The sequence below is a fragment of the Homo sapiens genome, chromosome 16 (genome assembly GCF_000001405.40).
Source record: "Homo sapiens chromosome 16, GRCh38.p14 Primary Assembly".
Taxonomy (NCBI): domain Eukaryota; kingdom Metazoa; phylum Chordata; class Mammalia; order Primates; family Hominidae; genus Homo; species Homo sapiens.
In genome coordinates this window covers 54,877,161-54,895,867 of record NC_000016.10, presented here as the reverse complement: position 1 = coordinate 54,895,867, position 18,707 = coordinate 54,877,161, and the positions used below count along the sequence as shown (strand labels likewise).

Sequence of the window (18,707 nt, the reverse complement as noted above, 5' to 3'; positions counted from 1 at the left end):
AAATTAAAATCTAAAACAATGGAATCACTAAAACTCTGACTTAACCTGCACCAGGCAAGGAGGTGAAGGAAGCTTGCTAACAGTATAGGGAACCTTTTGTCACCTCCCTCTGCCACCAAGGGGCTCCATGGAGGTCACCTGCTACCTTGTTTCCCCAAAGCCACAAATCAGGACATCTTTTGTTAGCCTGGCTGAATGGGACTGCCTAGTAGTGAAGCCAGTGCCAGGGCAGCTAGGAGGCTGGGACTCTGACTTCATCCTTCTCATCTGCTGGTGCCATTTTGAATGTCTTCAGATTAGTCTCCTATTCTGAAACCTAACCAGAGCCAGACATTATTCACCAAGCATCTTTTGCCCCAAGATGTAGTCAAAATCAACGTGTGCATCATAGCCTTCAGCAGGTTGAGTTTCTTTAAAATTTCAAATTCCTCTCTTTCACTTTCCTTATATTTCACATCTCTAAATACCCCCATGAAAAACTGATGATATACCTGTTATTGCCCATCTCTTTTTCATCTGACATCTGAACGCCTTGTAAATTATATTTCCGTGCAACAATTTATTGAACATCTACTATAACTTTATGTTGTAAAACTGAATAAGAGTGGTATAGAGTATGACTTCATCATCATGTGGATGCATAAACTGATTTATTTTCCTACAGACTCTTCTTATAGGAGTGTAGTGCATGTAAATTAATAATTTGATACCTCTTTTCTCACCATTTATCTTTAGATATTTAGGTTTTCATTTTAAAAGTCCATTTTGAATAAATGTATTGTCAATTTTGAAGAGGACTGGTTTATCTTGGTTCATTCTAATGTTATGTACTTTTATGCTTGAATTATTTACTATGGGTTGCTTATTGACCTATTTTACTTGTTGTTTTATGGAACACATATTTTCAGTGGAGACAGGCTAAGCTATATTTATTTATACCACAGTACATTAACCATAAAACTATCTAACTACAGTGAAATGATGCTAATCTGGAACCCTCAGGGAATGGGTTATTCAAGATAGCCCAGTTTTAGGAATTAACATTAACTATTTGTGATGGAAATCTTTCTAAAATGGATTATACTTTCCCGTCTCATCTTGAAAGCATATCAAGTCTCATTTAACTTTGGTAATAACTCATCGTCATCAGTAAGAATTGGACTGTATAACTCAGTTCTCATGAAAGGACTCGGCCTTTTCGTTTTTAGTTGTTTTGGTTTTTTGTTTTCTGTTTAGTTCTCATTGGCATTTCTCAGAAGCTTTCTGTGTCTTCAATTGCTGTCAGCTGTATTTCTCGTTGGCCCTACCTGCAGGCCTCGACCTGCCCTTCAAAATTCTGCTTTTATGCTCCTGCGGACTTGGAGACCAGGTAGTGGAGCTAAGTAGAATACAGCCAGCATGAAAAAGGGCTTCCAGAGCCCACTAATGGGCCAGATGCCACAGTTGTATATTAACTTGCAAGCAAGTCTTTTCTCAGTTCTCTGTGTATTTTAGCCAATTGGGTGTTAAAATGAGGGACATCTGCTCTAACTCCCTCCTCTGACATCCTTCTCCACTTCGCAGAGTTCTTCAGAGGCTGATTCTAGCCAGGATAGGGGAGCCATCGGGCCTTGAGTCTGGGAACTAAGGGAAATATTTGAGTATTTGAATACACCTTAGAAAATAAAATTAAAACAGGCCTCATTTTAAGTTTATAGTTTATTAAATGACACCTATATTGAGATAATCTCCTGTAAATTCCCCTTGTCTTCTTTATCCCATTGGTCCTTTTTTTTTTTTTAATAAACTCTAAACATATCTTCTTTTGACTTGCAATTTATTGGGACTAAAGCTAAAGTCTAAAGCCCTGATTTTTAAATTTTATTTATTTATTTATTTTTTGAGACAGAGTCTTGCTCTGTCGCCCAGGCTGGAGTGCAATGGTACGATCTTGGCTCACTGCAACCTCCATCTCCTGGATTCAAGCGATTCTCATGCCTCAGCTTCCCAAGTAGCTGGGATTACAGGCGCGTGCCACCATGCCTGGCTATTTTTTGTATTTTTAGTAGAGACAGGGTTTCACCCTGTTGACCAGGCTGATCTTGAACTCCTGACCTCAAGTAATCCGCCCGCCTCAGCCTCCCAAAGTGCTGGGATTACAGGCATGGGGCACCGCACTTGGGCTAAAGCCTTAATTCTAAAACAGCATCTCTAGTGAAAACTGCAGAGTCCACAATGATTCTAACCTCTTTCTTTAGGCACATTATTATGGATTGACTGCATATATTTTTTACTTTAGGCACTTTGCACAGTCACATGAGAAATGCTTTGTTAAATGGCAGGTGAGCGTTAGCCTGGAAGCCTTGGGTATCTTATATTTACATGCTGCTTTACAGCTTCTGCAGCAACTTCGTCTTTTCTCATTGGACCTTGAGAACAATGCAGAGATTGCATTGTCCCCCATGTCAGAGCCAGGAGATCAGGGGTGCAGACGTGTGAAGTGACCCATCCTAGATCCCACCGCTGTTCGCATTCTCAAGTTTGAGCTTAGATCCTCTGCTTCCAAGGTTGGTGGAGTTTTCTCACTGGCTTCACGTACTGGTGTTGGTGGATAATAGGTAAGACTTAGTTCTGACTGTGTAGATTGGGGCTGCCAACCCCTGTGAGTACAGGGAGTGTCAGGTCACAAGGAGGGGAACTTAATGGGCATGTGATCCTGAGGGGTCAAAGTCTCACCATCTTCAGCTAGTCGTCATCCTGCTGCTGCAGCTGGAGATGGGTGGAGGCTGTCTGGGATTTGATGACCAACTCCAACTGGTTAGCTGCGTGCAATAACTGGGGACCCTGATACTAAAGATAGTGACTTTAATTATGACCGTCTCATGTTTTTAGAGAACTGGGTGTTGTTTTGTTTGGTTGTGGTTTGGCCACATATTAGAAGTCAGTTAATGAAATTATTATTTTTCTTTTCTTTTTTTTTTTTTTTTCAGACGGAGCCCTGCTCTTTAGCCCAGGCCGGATTGCAGTGGCACAATCTTGGCTCACTGCAAGCTCCGCCTCCCAGGTTCACGCCATTCTCCTGCCTCAGCCTCCCGAGTAGCTGGGACTACAGGCGCCCGCCACCGCGCCCGGCTAATTTTTTGTATTTTTAGTAGAGACGGGGTTTCACCGTGTTAGCCAAGATGGTCTCGATCTCCTGACCTTGTGATCCGCCCGCCTCGGCCTCCCAAAGTGCTGGGATTACAGGCGTGAGCCACCGCGCCCAGCCGAAATTATTATTTTTCAAAACTAGATACATAAGTGTTTTGGAATAAATTCGGATCCATTTCTTAATATAAAAAATATCTGTGCCACTTGTATTCAAAGCACAAGTTTTCTTTATTTTGACTTTTTTTTTTTTTTTTTTTTTTTTTTTAAGACAGAGTCTTGCTCTGTCACCCAGGCTGGAGTGTAGCACAGTCTTGGCTCACTGCAACCTCTGCCTCCCCGGTTCCAGCAATTCTCCCGCCTCAGCCTCCTGAGTACCTGGGATTGCAGGCGTGCACCACTATGCCTGGCTAATTTTTGTATTTTTAGTACAGAAGAGATTTTACTATATTGGCCAGGCTGGTCTTGATCTCCTGACCTCATGATCCACCCGCCTTGGCCTCCCAAAGTGCTGGGATTACAGGTGTGAGCCACCACGCTAGGCCAATTTTGACTTTTTTATTTTGAAATATAGCTGTTCTTTGGGCTGGAAAAAAAATGGTCTTTGGCAAAAATAATTTGTAAACTGTATTTAACATGTCATTTAGAAATTCTATGTCTTGTTTTAAGAATTATTTTATGATAAGATATATTAAGCTGTTGTTTTTAAAGATCTATTAAGATATTACCTTCCATATAGATTAATATTTAGATAAACCTTAAAGAAATTTATATTTATATTTTGATTTTCACTTATGTGTGTGTGTGTATTTGCTGATTGACTGGAGATTGCTTCCAGAAAAGTCAACTCAACCTCAGAATTCTAAAATGTTCTCTTTATCCAGTTAAGTTTTTTTTTTTTAATCAGAAATTTAGGCTGATTTATTTAACCGGCTGGTGCTATCCAGTTAGTCCTGTAATTAAAAATTCATTTCTCAAAGATGTTACTAAAATCTTAGAAATATTAAAGCTTTAACCCTAAAGATGGGTATGGAAGTGATTAAATTTTCCCTATTATTTTTTTCTCTCTCTGCCAGCGTGATTAATTTCACTTTCTGTGTCTTACTCCATGAGCCCTAATGCTTCTGCTGAGATTCCTAATTCAGTGAAACCTGTTTAGGGGATCATCTCTGTTAGGCAGACAGCTGCTGAAAAGGCATTCACTTTCCAAGCATGGATTTTAGATTATGGCCAATCAAGACTCCGGCCTGGAAGAACACCTGTCAGAGACGTTTTTCTACAAGGAGATGGTCTCTTTAATCATATTTCATTGTACTTCAGAAAAAGGTTCGTTTTAAAATGTGAGTAAAATTGCATCTGCTTTTATAATTCATCCTTTTCAGCTGAAACACCAATTTAGAGCTTATTTATGACATTGTTCTATAGTGAAACGAGAAACTGCCACAAAGTGTTTAAAAAGGAAGGGCTTTCCCAGACATCCGATTTGTAATTTTCTCTTGTGAAAAAAATATAAAAAAAATTTTTTTTAACTTTTCTGTGTGAATATAATTAGCGATAGTAATTCCTGTGAGCAAACTTTCAAAACATTTAAGCTAAATCGTGAAAACATGTAATGAAACCTGGGAAACTTTCCTATGTTGAAATATGTTGCATTTATCTGTGAACAATGCAAAGTATTATTGATACTGATTGGTGTTTAGAGAAACTACACTCGACTTTCAACTCGGCTGTAATTACAGGCACCGTGACGTACATAAAATGCAGGTACTTACTCACATCTGCAGACTCTATTGAGTGTAACTATTAGAAGACAAACTTCATTTTGCAAACTGTAATTTAATGGTATAACAGTGTGCAGACCAGAATATCAGTTAATTTTCAAAACATTTTATTCTACACCAATTAGCTCAGGTCCTGGAGGGCAAAATGACAAGAGGTTACTCGTTCACTATGTATTTAATTAATTGAAAAATGCTCAAATTGCTTTTACAGTTGTTATTAAAAAGTAGAATCAGTGTTGCCAGTGCTCAACCATAATTGGAACCCCAGGGAATTAAATATTTAGCATTAGTAATGTAACAGCACTTAGGACACAAATTTCTATTTTCGTAATGAAAGCTATACACTGTGAGTGCAAGCGGCTGAAACGACAGCTGTGACAAGTGAAATGGCCTGGGATATTTCAATAAGACACCTCATTGGACAGCAAGTCTTACCACATTACTAGTTTGTAAGAGATCTGCAAGTTTAATTCCCAATAGAAACCCGTTACCCAAGTATTTAGATTTCTAATTGCATGCAGGATGAACAATTGGGCAAATGTCTTGCCATAAGTGGCTGAAATGTATAGTGCTTGCTAAATAATCCTATATAAGTTCATGCCTTTGTCAATTTAAAAATAGCGGGACTGTCAGGGAATAAAGATCTTGTTTGTTTTAAGTTTAATTACATTTTAAGCATAAATGCTCTCAGTGCTACAGTGAGAAAAGTTGGATATTGGGCTCTAATGAGCTGCAGGGGTAGACGGCTAGAGACCCTAAGGGATTCACTCCATAAATTAACTGGATAAAAGTACTTGGTTAGGATATAGTTGATGGCTGAGCTGTTCTTAAAACCCAGCTATAGAGCTGTCTCTCACTCCTGTTTTCATTCTAAACAGGCCCTGTAGAGACTTAAGTAGCCTCCTGTTACAACTGTTCAACTTGTCAAAATGTATTATATTACTCCACTAATAAATAGTATTAAAGGGTATTTGACTTCATTTCTCGTTTTCAGAGGGGATCAGGTTGATAAACACAACTGGCATACATTGGCCTTATTTTAATTTGTTTATGTCACCTAAGTAATATTGAAGGTACACGGTTTGAATTTGTAAACATTACTTTCCTGGAGATGTAAAACTTACAAAATATTATGTACAATGGAAGCAATTAATGAAGGCTATTAGAGAATTTTTATCCTTGAAAGATATATGAATTTGACATTTTTAGCTCTCATTCAAAGTATTAGAAAACCCCATAGCTAAACTAACATTCTTTGAAGCATGACTAGACTAATTATTTTGCCAATCATTTTATTTTTTTTTTTGGGAAAAAAAGTTACAGGATACATTGATTTCATAATTTTCTTTTGCTTACCATTGTCCCCGTATCAGTTTTTGAGAATTTATTTATCATTTCTTTTCTATTTTATTTTTTGTATTTTTCAAAACAATACATGGACTGGGTGCGGTGGCTTGCGCCTGTAATCCCAGCACTTTGGGAGGCCGAGGCCAGTGGATCACTTGAGGTCAGGAGTTCAAAACCAGCTGGGCCAACATGGCGAAGCCCTGTCTCTACTAAAAATGCAAAATTAGCTGGGTGTGGTGGCATGCACCTGTAATTCCAGCTACTTGGGAAGCTGAGACACCAGAAGCACTTGAACCTCGGGGGCAAAGGTTGCAGTGAACCAAGATTGCGCCACTGCATTCCAGCCTGGGCAGCAAAGCGAGACTCCATCTCAAAAAACAAAAACAAAACAATACATGCTTACTTTAAAGGAAAAATAGAGAAGAAGAATGTAGGCTGGGTGTGGGGCTCATGCTTGTAATCCCAGCACTTTGGGAGGCTGAGGCAGATGGAACACCTGAGGTCAGGAGTTCAAGACCAGCCTGGCCAAGATGGTGAAACCCCGTCTCTACTAAAAATACAAGAAATTAGCCAGGCATGGTGGCAGGTGCCTGTAATCCCAGCTACATGGGAGGCTGAGGCAGGAGAATTGTTTGAACCCGGGAGGCAGAAGTTGCAGTGAGCCGAGATTGCGCCACTGCATTCCAGCCTGGGCAACAAGAGCAAAACTCCATCTGAAAAAAAAAAAAAAGTTTATTTGATAAACTCTCCCTCTCCCTTTGACTCTCTCCTCTGTCCTACCTTCCTGCCTGGTAGTCACTTTTGCTAACAATTTGAAGGAGTCCTTTTGTAACATGTTCCGTGCATATTATACATGGGAACATATGGGTATATTGCATGTATATATTACATATAGCATATTTGGATTATTCCATAGAAGTCTGTGACTTGCTTTTTTTTCACTTTTTATTTTATTTACTTTATTTATTTATTTTTTGAGATGGGTCTCACTCACTCTGTCGCCAGGCTGGAGTGCAATGGTGCGATCTCAGCTCACTGCAACCTCTGCCTCCCGGGTTCAAGCGATTCTCCTGCCTCAGCCTCCCAAGTAGCTGGGACTACAGGCACCCGCCACCACGCCTGGCTAATTTTTGTATTTTTAGTAGAGACGTGGTTTCACCATGTTGGCCAGGTTGGTCTCGATCTTCTGACCTCATGATCTGCCCACCTCGGCCTCCCAAATTTCTGGGATTACAGGTGTGAGCCACCGCGCCCAGCTTTTCACTTATTTTATTACAGACATCTTCCTCTATTGGTGCCCAAGATCATTCTTATTGTATTTAATAGCTATTTATTATCTCTATTTTGGAGGTACAAAATTTACTTATTTGCTATCGATGCCTTTAAAGTCATATATCCAGTTTTCATTTTGGCAAATAATGCCATGGGGAATTTTTTTTTGTTTTCAGACAGAGTCTCACTCTGTCACCCAGGCTGGAGTGCAGCGGTGCCATCTCGGCTCACTGCAACCTCTGCCTCTCAGGCTCAAAGAAATTTTCCCACCTCAGCCTCCAGAGTAGCTAGGACCACAGACGCACACCACCAAGCCTGACTAATTTTTTTGCATTTCTGGGAGAGACAGCGTTTCACCATGTTGCCCAGGCTGGTCTTGAACTCTTGAGCTCAAGTGATCCACCCGCCTCAGTTTCCCAAAGTGTTGGGATTACAGGCGTGAGCCACGGCACCCAGTGACCCATGGGGAATTTTTGAGTGTGCTAAGTATGTGAGTTTGAACGTGATTTCACATATGTGTTGCCATTACATTACTTCTTCTGAGAATCATCCTGTTTATGTTTTTTGTTCATTTTCCCATATCATTGAGTTCTTGTCAGATTACAAAAGATCTTTATTGATTATGGCTACTAACTCTTTGTTATATTTTATCAAATATTTTTTCTCAGCCTGTTGCTTATATTTTGACTTTGATTTTAATATTATCAAGTTTTGCTTTATGGATTGTGGTATAAGAAGACCACACCCAAAATTACAAGTATATTTTCCTACATCTTTTCCTACTACTTTTAATTTTTTTTGAAGTTTTGATCTTTAAACCTCATGGGATTTATTTGATTATGTGGTATGACATAAAGATCAAACCTTTTATTTCCGGTAACACCCACAGTTTCCTCTTATACATTGTCCATTCTGTTTCCCCCATGGCTTGAAATATGACCTTTGTCTAATGCTATATCCCGCCTATATATGTCTCTGAATTGCTAGGGTTTTTTTTTGTTGTTGTTAATGTTTCATTTGCCTAATCCTGCAACATCAACCTTTTTATCATTATAACACAAAAGTAAGTTTAAATCTTTATAGCTTTTTAAAAAATGCTCACCATCAGGTACTCTTAATTTTAAATTATAAAAGTAATACATATTTCTAAGTTAACAAATACAAACAGTTTAGAAAGCTCTAGTTGTGGTAGGCAGAATAATGCTCATCCAGAGATGTCCATATCCCAATTTCCAGAAGCTGAATATGTTGCATTACACAGCAAAAGGTGATTAAGATTGCAGATGGACTTAAAGTCACTAATCAGCTGACTTTAAAATAGGGAGATTACCCTGGATTATCTAGGTGAACTGAGTGTAATCACAAGGGTCCTCAAATGTGGAAGAAGGAGGCAGAAGATGCAGTACCAGAGTGATGCAACACGAAGACTGAGCATTGCTGGCTTTAGAGCTGAAGGAATGGAACCACCAGCCAAGGAATGTGGGCAGCATTTAGACACTTGGAAGAGGCAAGAAAACAAGTTCTCCTCTTAACCTCCAGAAAAAGAACCACACTCTGCTGACACCTTGATTTCTGCCCAGTAAGACCCAATTCAGACTTTGGACCAGAGCTGTAAAATAAATTTATGTCGCTTCAACTGCCAGGTTTGTGGTGCTTTGTTATAGCAGCAGTGGAAAACGTATACAAAGGTGAAAAGTAAAAATTCTCCTCCCTGTTTTCTACACCCTCTCCCCTCCAGTCCAGGTCCACTCCAGGCAGTAACAACTCTGAATAGGTTTTGGGGTGTGGGGTGTTACCTGAATGGGGTCTTGATCCAGACCCCCAAAGAGGGTTCCTGGATTATGCACAAGAAAGAATTCAGGGCAAGTCCATAGAGTAAAGTGAAAGCAAGTTTATTAAGAAAGTAAAGGAATAAAACAATGGCTACACCATAGGCAGAGCAGCAGTGTGGGCTGCCCAACTAAGGATACTTATAGTTATTTCTTGAGAATACAGTAAACAAGGGGTGGCTTATTCATGTGTTTTCTGGGAAAGGGGTGGGCAATTCCTGGAATTGATCATATAGGGTAACTTTCTGACGTTGTCATGGTGCTTGTAAACTGTTATGGCACTGGTGGAAGTGTCTCTTCACATGCTAATATATTATAATTAGCATATAATGAGCAGCGAGAATGACCAGAAGTCACTTTTGTAGCCATCTTGGTTTTGGTGGGATCTGGCCAGCTTTTTTACCATATGCTGTTTTATCAGCAAGGTCTTTGTGACCCGTATCTTGTGCCAGCCTCCTATCTCATACTGTAACAGAATGCCTAACCTCCTGAAAATGCAACCCAGTAGATTTCAGCCTCATTTTACCCAGACTCTATTCAAGATGCAGTCACTCTGGTTCAAACACCTCTGACAGGGGGAAGGAAATGTCTTTGCAGAATTGTGACTCTGTAGACATTTTTGTAATATGTTTTGATATTTATTAAGGCAAGTCTCCTTTTTTTAACTTTTACAAAATTTTAACTTCTCACACATTTACATTTTCAGATGAAGATCAAAATCAGTTTGCAAATCCCATTTTAAAATTTCTTCAGGATTTTGATTGGGAATACATTGAATTTATAGATTGATTTAGCGGAAAGCAGATTATCTTGCTAATCTTCATTCAAAATACCTCACAATAATGGCTAAGAAATATTTGTTGAATGAATGAATATGTATTTTATTTTGTTTTTGGAGAAGAGAGGTAGGGAGTCCATTTGAATTATTTTTTAAATACTTAGTATTTTATTAAAATACTAAATCCATTTCCTTTGGATTTTCAATTTATCACCGTAAAATTCTACATAATATTTTTATTTAAAAGTCTTTCCCAAGGCCAGGTGTGGTGGCTTACGCCTCTAATCCCAGCATTTTGGGAAGCTGAGGCGGGCAGATTGCTTGAGGTCAGGAGTTTAAGACCAGCCTGGCCAATATGGTGAAACCCTGTCTCTGCTAAAAATACAAAAATTAGCTAGGCGTGGTGGTGGGTGCCTATAGTCTCAGCAACTCTGGAGGCTAAGGGATGAGAATCGCTTGAACCCAGGAGGCGGAGGTTGCAGTGAGCGGAGATCATGCCACTGCACTACAGCCTGGGGGGCAGAGTGAGACTCCCATCTCAAAAAAATAAAATTAAGTTAAAATAAAAATATTTCCCTTATCTGTAATTGTATCCACTTTCTTAATCCAAATGTGGTTTAATTTGGTTTCTCCACTTTTTTTCTTTGTCATACTTGCCACACTTTTATTTAAGTTTTGTTTTTATCGATATGTTCTTTCTTCAATTATTTGTTCTTCTTTTTATTTGTATGGGAGAAAACATAATATCCATTCCCCCTACCCCCTATCACCAGGTTCATGGCTGAGGCCTTTATGACAAAAGACAGATTAACAAGGGAAGAGCTTACAAAATTATTTAATATAAATTTTACATTGCATAGGAAACTGCAGAAATGAAGACCCAAAGAAATAGGGAAATCTATGTGTTTTTATGCTTAGGTTTGTTGAAGAGGGGACAGTCCTTGCAGAAGCATAATTGGAGGATGTAAGGTTATTGTTGCAGGACTTTCTCCTTAGTTCAGCTAAAAACGGGGTCCTTGTCACATGGCCATGAAATGTTAGGGTTGCAGACACTTTGAAGGGTGAGAAAAATGGAATTTATTGGGCAAAAAGGAAACAAAGGGGAAACAGGGACCCTCAGCAGAGCGAGAGTCCTGCTAGTATATACCTCCGGCCTCGCAGACTGAATCCCAGGTTCCACCCAGGAAGAGGAGGAGCCAGGCTCCTCCCCACTGCAAACGTTGCAAACTTCCGGAGGCTTCGCCCCCATGCGCGTTCCTCCCAGTGTGCAGGCTGGTGGGAGGTTCTCTGGGGACCCATTTATACTTGGCTGTCTCAGTATGACCTAGTGGTCACAAACTTGAGTGGGGGGCTTAGCAAGGCCTGTTTGTTCAGATTCTTCCTGGCATTCCTGTGTGACATTCCTTCCCTCTGGGTATAGGGCAAGACACCTGTCACATAAGGGTCTCTCCTGAAAACCCTTATGTGACAGGTGTGTTGCTCTATACCTAGAGGGTATCCTTATTCAGGGAGGGAGAAGGTCAGAGAGTGACCTTTTCAGGTTTTTATGGCCTGCTTTGGGGAAGAAGGGTGAGAGGGACCTTCCTGCTCCTGCTGTTTTCTCATTTCCAAGGTGCTATATTTTGGAGTTGTGTGACCTGAACCCCATCATATACGAATTCTTCCTTTTACTTTGTTTTAGTTGATGTGTTTGACCTTTCCCTGGGTTTTCTGGCTGAATGCATAGTTGCTGTTGTTTTACATGTTGCTTGATTTTTAATAAGTATGTTTTGGCTATAAATTATCCTCTAAGTTCAGTTTTGGCTGTGTCTACTAGTTTTTCTATTTATTGTTTTTACTGTTTTTCATAACTGAATAGTCCATAATTTTGTACTTTTACTATTTTCTAACCAAAGAGTTATCTTGAAAAGAGAATTTTTAAAAACTATCTAAGTGGCTAGATAATGTTTTGTAGATGGGGAGGCACGGATAGAAGAGGAGGAGAAGGCTATGATTTATTATTCATTTCTGGCTTTTTTTTTTTCATTATAGCTAGAGAATGGAGCCTGTATGATTTCCCCTTTGGATAATATACTGAGATTTCCTTTGTGGTTAAAAACATAGTTAATGTGTAAATATTTCATATATGTTTAACAAGAATGTGTATTCTCGCTTTAGGAAATGTATCTTAAGTCCACTTATTAAATCAAGCTTGTTAATTTTGTTTTTTAGATGCTCTTCTTTCTTTCTCCTTTCCTCCTTTCCTCCCTCCCTCTCTCCCTCCCTTCCTCCCTCCCTCCCTCCTTCCCTTTCCTTCCTTCCTTCCTTCCTCCTTCCCTCCCTCCCTCCATTCTTTCTTTTCTCTTTTCTTTTCTTTCCTTTCTTTTCTTTCTTTTTCTCTCTCTCTTTCTCTCTCTCTCCCTTTCTCCCTAACTCTCTTTCTCTCTCTGTCCCAGAGTCTCCCTCTGTTACCGAGGAAGATGGAGTTCAGCTGTCTAATCATAGCTCACTGCAGCTTTGACTTCTGGGCTCCAGTGATCCTCCCTCCTTGGCCTCCTGAATAGCTGGGATCACAGGTGCCTGCCACCACGCCCAGCGAATTTTTGTATTTTTGATAGAGATAAGACTTCACCATTTTGCCTGGGCTGGTCTTGAACTTCTGGGTTCAAGCAATCCACTTGCCTATGGCTCCCAAAGTGCTGGGATTATAGGTGTGAGCCACTGTGCCCGGCCTACTCTACATTCTTATTTTCCATATACCTCACTTGTGAGTCTCTGAGAGCTTGTAGTTTTCAGAAGTTCTCCTGTGTTTTCAGAAGTTCTCCTGTATTTTCAATAAGTTGTTTATGTATTGGTGCTTTGCTTTTTCATGGAATAAAGGTCTAAATCTACTATATCTTCTTAGTGGGTTGTACCATTAATTGATGTAAAATGCCCCCTTTGTTCCCTTTGATTACAGTAGGAATCCTTTGCTCCAGGGTGGCACTTCTTCCTGTGAGACTAACAGCCAGAGCTGCCTTGTGATTCTTTTCCTCGCTGTCTTTTGAAGAGTGTAATTGTATCACATTTTTCTGGCTTTCACCCTGCTTCAGCCCTCAAGCAGTGAGCTTTCCCTAAGCACATTTCTCCACGTTTGGAGAGAGATTTTCAGCTGCAAACACAGCAGCTATAATCCACTGTACCCACCACTGTGAGTGGTGGGATCCAACAGACAAGCTGGCAAGAGGGTGAGCCCGTAGGGTACCAAGTTAAGGCACTTGCTTTCAGGGTGGTGCAGGTCTCTCTGAATTTTGCATTCTAGGCACCTTGCCCTAGTCCCCATCCTCACCTGCTCACCCCAGGCCCAACCCTGCTAACAAAGTTCATTGTCTTACAAGGTAAGCCTTTCAGTGACCTTGAGAAATAACCCATCTCACTCTGGTTCTTTCATATTTGTCATCTCTGAGTTTGCTCTTTCTCTACTGCATTAAGAAATCCACTTCATGTCTTTCTTTCTTTTTTTTTTTTTTTTCTTGAGACAGGGTCTCACTCTATAACCCAGGCTGGAGTTCAGTGGCTCCATCTCGGCTCACTGCAACCTCTGCCACCCAGGCTCAAGTGATCCTCCTGCCGCAACCTCCTGAATAGCTGAGACCATAGGCATGCACCATCACACCGGCTATTTGTTTTTTGTTTGTTTGTTTTTTGTTCTTTTTTAGTGGAAACAGGGTTTCACTATGTTGCCCAGGCTTGTCTCCAACTCCTGACCTCAAGTGATCCGCCTGCCTTGGACTCCCAAAGTGCTGGGATTACAGGCATGAGACACCACACCCAGCCCAGCTTCATTTCTTCAATACACAACCTGTTTGAGTTGTGTTTTACTCTGATGTTTCAATTAAGCTATTAATATTTCTTTTTATTTTTTATTTTCATCAAGATAACAATGATGAAATAGTTGACAATGAAACAGCGTTCAAAGGCTTATAAAGAAAAGAGAAGGTCTTTGCCTCACCCTTCTTTACCTCTTCTCTACTTTTCAGTTGCAACCCTTTAAAAATGTCTAAGTGTTTCTTCTGTCATTTGCCTTCACATTTCTAAATACTATGATTACTGCTATTTCTTTAGTTATCAATCACGGCTACATCAATAATGGATATATTTTATTGACTTCCATTGACAACATATGAATCTATAGCTTCGTTACTTTACCATTCCTATTGCTCCAATATAGGGATTCCAATATAATTTTGGAATTTAATATTAATTTCCAATATAATTTTTGGTTAAATGAGTATTCAGTATGAAGATTATTATTATGCCTGTAAATACAAGGTACTACTGGGAAAAATAATGCACCTGAACTTCCCTAATTATTTTTAAAATTTTTTTAAAGATAATAATGGCCTCGTTTTTATATTTGATTAGTTCCATGTGCTCCATCAAACCCATCCTTGATAGTCAATCAAGATTTTATAAACAATTATATGTATCAGAGCATAATTTATCAACTCTCTTTTGGTTATTTGGTTTTTCTTTTCTAAAGAACTCTCTTCAGGAAATTTATTTTTATCCTTCTCTAATTTGGATCAATTGCATTTTCACTTTGTCACCTAGCTGCCATCCTGAAATTTATTTTTGTGTTTTCCTGTGTTGGAGTCCCTGTTTTCTTGGTTTTATGTCTTTCTCTCTCTCTTGCTTCTCATGTTCATGGAGCTTATCTTTCCATAGCTTTCTAAAGAAGTATGCACAGAAATAAAATATCTTCATCTGAAAATGTCTGCACTGTCAGTATCACACTTTTCCAAGGCTCCATCTTATACCCTGATTTTTCCTGTTCTGTAACAGCCTGTTCTTGTTTCATAGATACAGTATATTCTTTTATTTCTCTGAGGTTTTATGTTTCTGAGGTTTTATTTTTCTGAGGTTATTAATAATACAATTTTATACACTGCTGTTTTTTGTGGTCTGCATGTTCTCAGCTTCCTCCAGATCCCATTTTTCTATTTGTTTAGGTCTTCCTCTTTCATATTGAAGGATCTCCTCAAATGTCTTGTAGTCATTAGCTGTAATATTTAAGATTACATTCTTAATGGAAAGCTAATTAGATCCTCTGTGTCCATTTGTGGAGCTTGGTGGTGGATGAATTTCACTGCCATATGATCAGGTGGCAAGCCAACATTAGCTATTTCTATGGGGGGGCTTCCCACTCCTGGATCTAAAAGTTTGGGTCTCAAGAGATGAACTTTCCAGTCTCCTTTTGGAGAGGCATCTCTTAGCTGCTGGTGTTCTGGAAGCAGGGAGGAAAAAAGGGACAGGAAGCTCATCATTCAGTATGCTTCTTTTTTAAGCCCTGTGTGTTGCTCCAGCCCTTCTCTATGCTTGTTATCCCTAAATCTAATCCCTAAATTAGAGCCTCTAATTTAATCTCTCCTATCCAAACAGTCACCTGGATGCAGAAGGGAGAGTAGGAGATCTGGGAATCTGACTGCTGCAGACAGGCTTTAAACCTTTCTCTCCATGTGAGCCTCATCCCCCATCCACCCCATACCTGGCTCCCTGATTCCTGAGCTTTGAGGGGCCATGGGCTTCATTCTCATTGCTCCTTTCTGCAGAATTTATATTCTAGTTTCACTCTGTAACACCAATATATTACTTCTCTACCCACTTTCTGCCTTCTGAAATGGTTTTGATTCCCTTTAAAATTATTTTGATATCCTTTATCCAGGTACATTTTTATTCTCTTTTTCTTTGTACAGTTGTACTCTTTTTGTATTTCTGGGTAATAACTTCAGGGTGTTTTAGGAAAGAGGGGAGATTAAATGTATGTAGTCTATCCTCCATAGTTAATTTCCAACTAGATGACTAATTCAAATTCCTTGAATGTTTGATTGGTTGATGACTCTTTGCTTGCTTACAATGCTGTCATGGAAGGATTTGTTTATTTCATCCTCCAGTTTAAACTAGAAGCTCACCATCTTGCAGTGAAAGTTGTCCATACTTGCTTATTTCTACCAGAATAATATATATTTTTTCAAATAATAAGAAATTTTTTTAGAACTTTTTTCTTTTGAGCATTTTGAAACTTATGGAAAATTTCCAAGAGTAGTACAATGAATTCTTGTATATACTCTTCACCTTGATTCACCAATTGTTCACATTTTATTACATTTGCTTTCTTTCATTCTATTATCCCTTATGGATCCTGTGACCTTCTACCCATAAATACTTTCACAGTATAATTATCGAATTTGGGAAATTTAACATTGATACAATACTACTATCTAATTGACCCATATTCAGATTTCACTAATGATCACAGTAATGTTTTTTACAGTATTTCCTCCAATCCAGGATTTAATCAAGGCTTACCCTTTTCATTTGTTGTCATGTATCTTTGGTCTTCTTTAATTTGGAACAGTTTTTTTTTTTCCCCTGACATTTGTGGTGGGTCCAGGCCAGTTGTTTTATAGACTGTCCTTCCAATTGGGTTTCACTGATGTTCGCTTGGGATTAAAGACAGGAAAATCCCAGAGTGATGCTGAGTTCTTCTCAGTTCATCACATCAGAAGGCACATGGTGTTGCCTTTTTTCAATATTGGTGACATTGCCTTCCACCGCTTGGTAAAGGTGATGTCTGTCAGTTTCTCCACTGTCAAGTTTTCTCTTTGTAATGAATAAGAAATCTGTAGAGACATACTTTGAGTCTGTGTAAATATCCATTGTAAGATAATTAGTAGATCTTATTCTAAATAGAGCAACACCATTCTTTACGTGTATGGAGTCCCAAATCATATTGGTGGTAGTTAAGATGATTATAATACCCATTACAATTCAGTCCTACTGGGAAAATAGTGGTGAATCAAACAGATAGGGCGTTCACATCTAATTTGTCTACTACTAACTAAGTGGTTTAACATCTTGAGGATGATCTTTCCTATTACCTTTAGTAAGGAGTCCCTTCCTTTGGCGGTACCAACATGTAAATTTCTGCAGGTTGTGCACTGCACAAGAACATTATTTATATTGCGGACATGGTAGATTTTGTACATTTATCTTGACAGTTTTCAGCAAATGAAAATGAAGCATCTTGAGAAAAGGGAGTCTTTTTCTAATTTTCACAAAGTACCCATTGACTGTAGATATGGGAAGTGGGTTATAATAGTTTCTTTCTATGAAACTTGAACTTCCCTAATTAGTGACAATGTTTAAGACAATAGCTTAGGAAAGTCAGTAATGTTAGAGTTCCATGACTAAGTCCAGCAGACATGAACACTTCTGATAGGGATGTCTTGACTCAGGAGGTAGTCAGTTAGAAGGTTCTCAGTCAAGGATTAAGGAACTGTTAGAGAAGAAAAACAGCAGACATGTACATAGGCAAAGAAATCCACTTTCAGGGTATTGGGAAGATCATGAATTGGTCGAATGGTTACAGATGTTAGAAAAAAAAATTAGGCAGAAGCAAATGAAAAGGGATTAGCACCAGGGCCATGGAATTCTTACAGCTGGGCATCTCACAGGAAGTGGTTTTGGGGTTCATGAGGAGTGGGAGAAGAATGAATGTGTCCAAGGAAAAGAGGAATGGTCCAGAGAAAATCCTCTAATGGGAATGAAATCCCGGCCAAGAGTCTTGGTTGGGTCCCACTGGCTTTAAGATAAATAATAGACCTCAGGAGGCAAGGGCAGCCCTGGGCCCAGATAACATGCCTTGCTTTCTGAGTGCTGTGCTGGGAATCTTCATCCTACTCTGTGGGATGAAGATTTCGTGGCCTCCAGGATGGCCACAAAACACACCCATAGTCAAACTCATCTTTCCTCTACACAGCCTCTGCTAGATCTGTGCTCTTCTGGAGGAAGAGAAAGAGAATGCACAAGGGAACACAGATGAACTTTGTCTGATGGTTTCAGACAAAGGCAAGTTCTAAGCTCCCCTGCCTGCCCACCTGTGCATGATTACATCGCTTCTAGCCCATGGCTGAGCTGATGGCTATGGCCCGGTGCCCAAATGGTTTATGTCCAAGTCCTGTCCCTTCTGCTAATTTGTAAATGCCTCAGGAAAACGTTCTACCCCTAGGAAGAGCACTGTTCTCAGGGTGCTATATATGCACCGAGAAAATACTTAATAAATGCTCTCTTATGGAGAAGATAGGTGATGTGGTTTGGATTTGTGTCTCTACCCAAATCTCATGTCAAATTGTAATCTCCAATGTTGGAGGAGGGGCCTAGTGGAAGGTGATTCAATCATGGGGGCAGATTTCTCCCTTGCTAATCTCATGATAATGAGTGAGTTCTCACAAGATCTTGTTGTTTCAAAGTGTGTAGCACCTTCCCCTTCTCTCTCTTCCTCCTGCTCCAGCCATGTCAGGTGTGTCTCCTTCCCTTTCACCTTCCACCATGATTGTAAGTTCCCTGAGGCCTCCCCAGCCATGCTTCCTGTACAGCCTGTGGAAGCCTGAGCCAATTAAAAATCTTTTCTTTATAAATCACCCAGTTTCAGGTATTTCTTTATAGCAGTGTGAGAACTGACTGATATAACAGGATAGCCCTGATAAACAGACTCTGGAATGGAGATTCAAACATTTTCCAGCCGGCTTGGGAATAAGAATAAACAGTAGCCTG

At 39.6% G+C, this 18,707-nt stretch overlaps 1 long non-coding RNA gene across 3 annotated transcripts in view; it reads left to right on the top strand.

Moving 5' to 3' along the window:
• The first annotated feature begins 2,086 nt into the window (after positions 1–2,086).
• Positions 2,087–18,707, top strand: part of LOC105371275 (uncharacterized) — a 42,139-nt gene continuing 25,518 nt past the window's right edge. Inside the window, exons 1-2 of one of the 3 annotated variants that reach the window (XR_933597.4) lie at positions 2,087–2,597; positions 4,203–4,452. This is a non-coding gene — a long non-coding RNA (uncharacterized LOC105371275). Of the gene's footprint in view, positions 2,598–4,202; positions 5,878–18,707 lie in introns of those variants that run through there. The other 2 variants (XR_007065072.1, XR_007065071.1) reach the window with 2 other exon arrangements.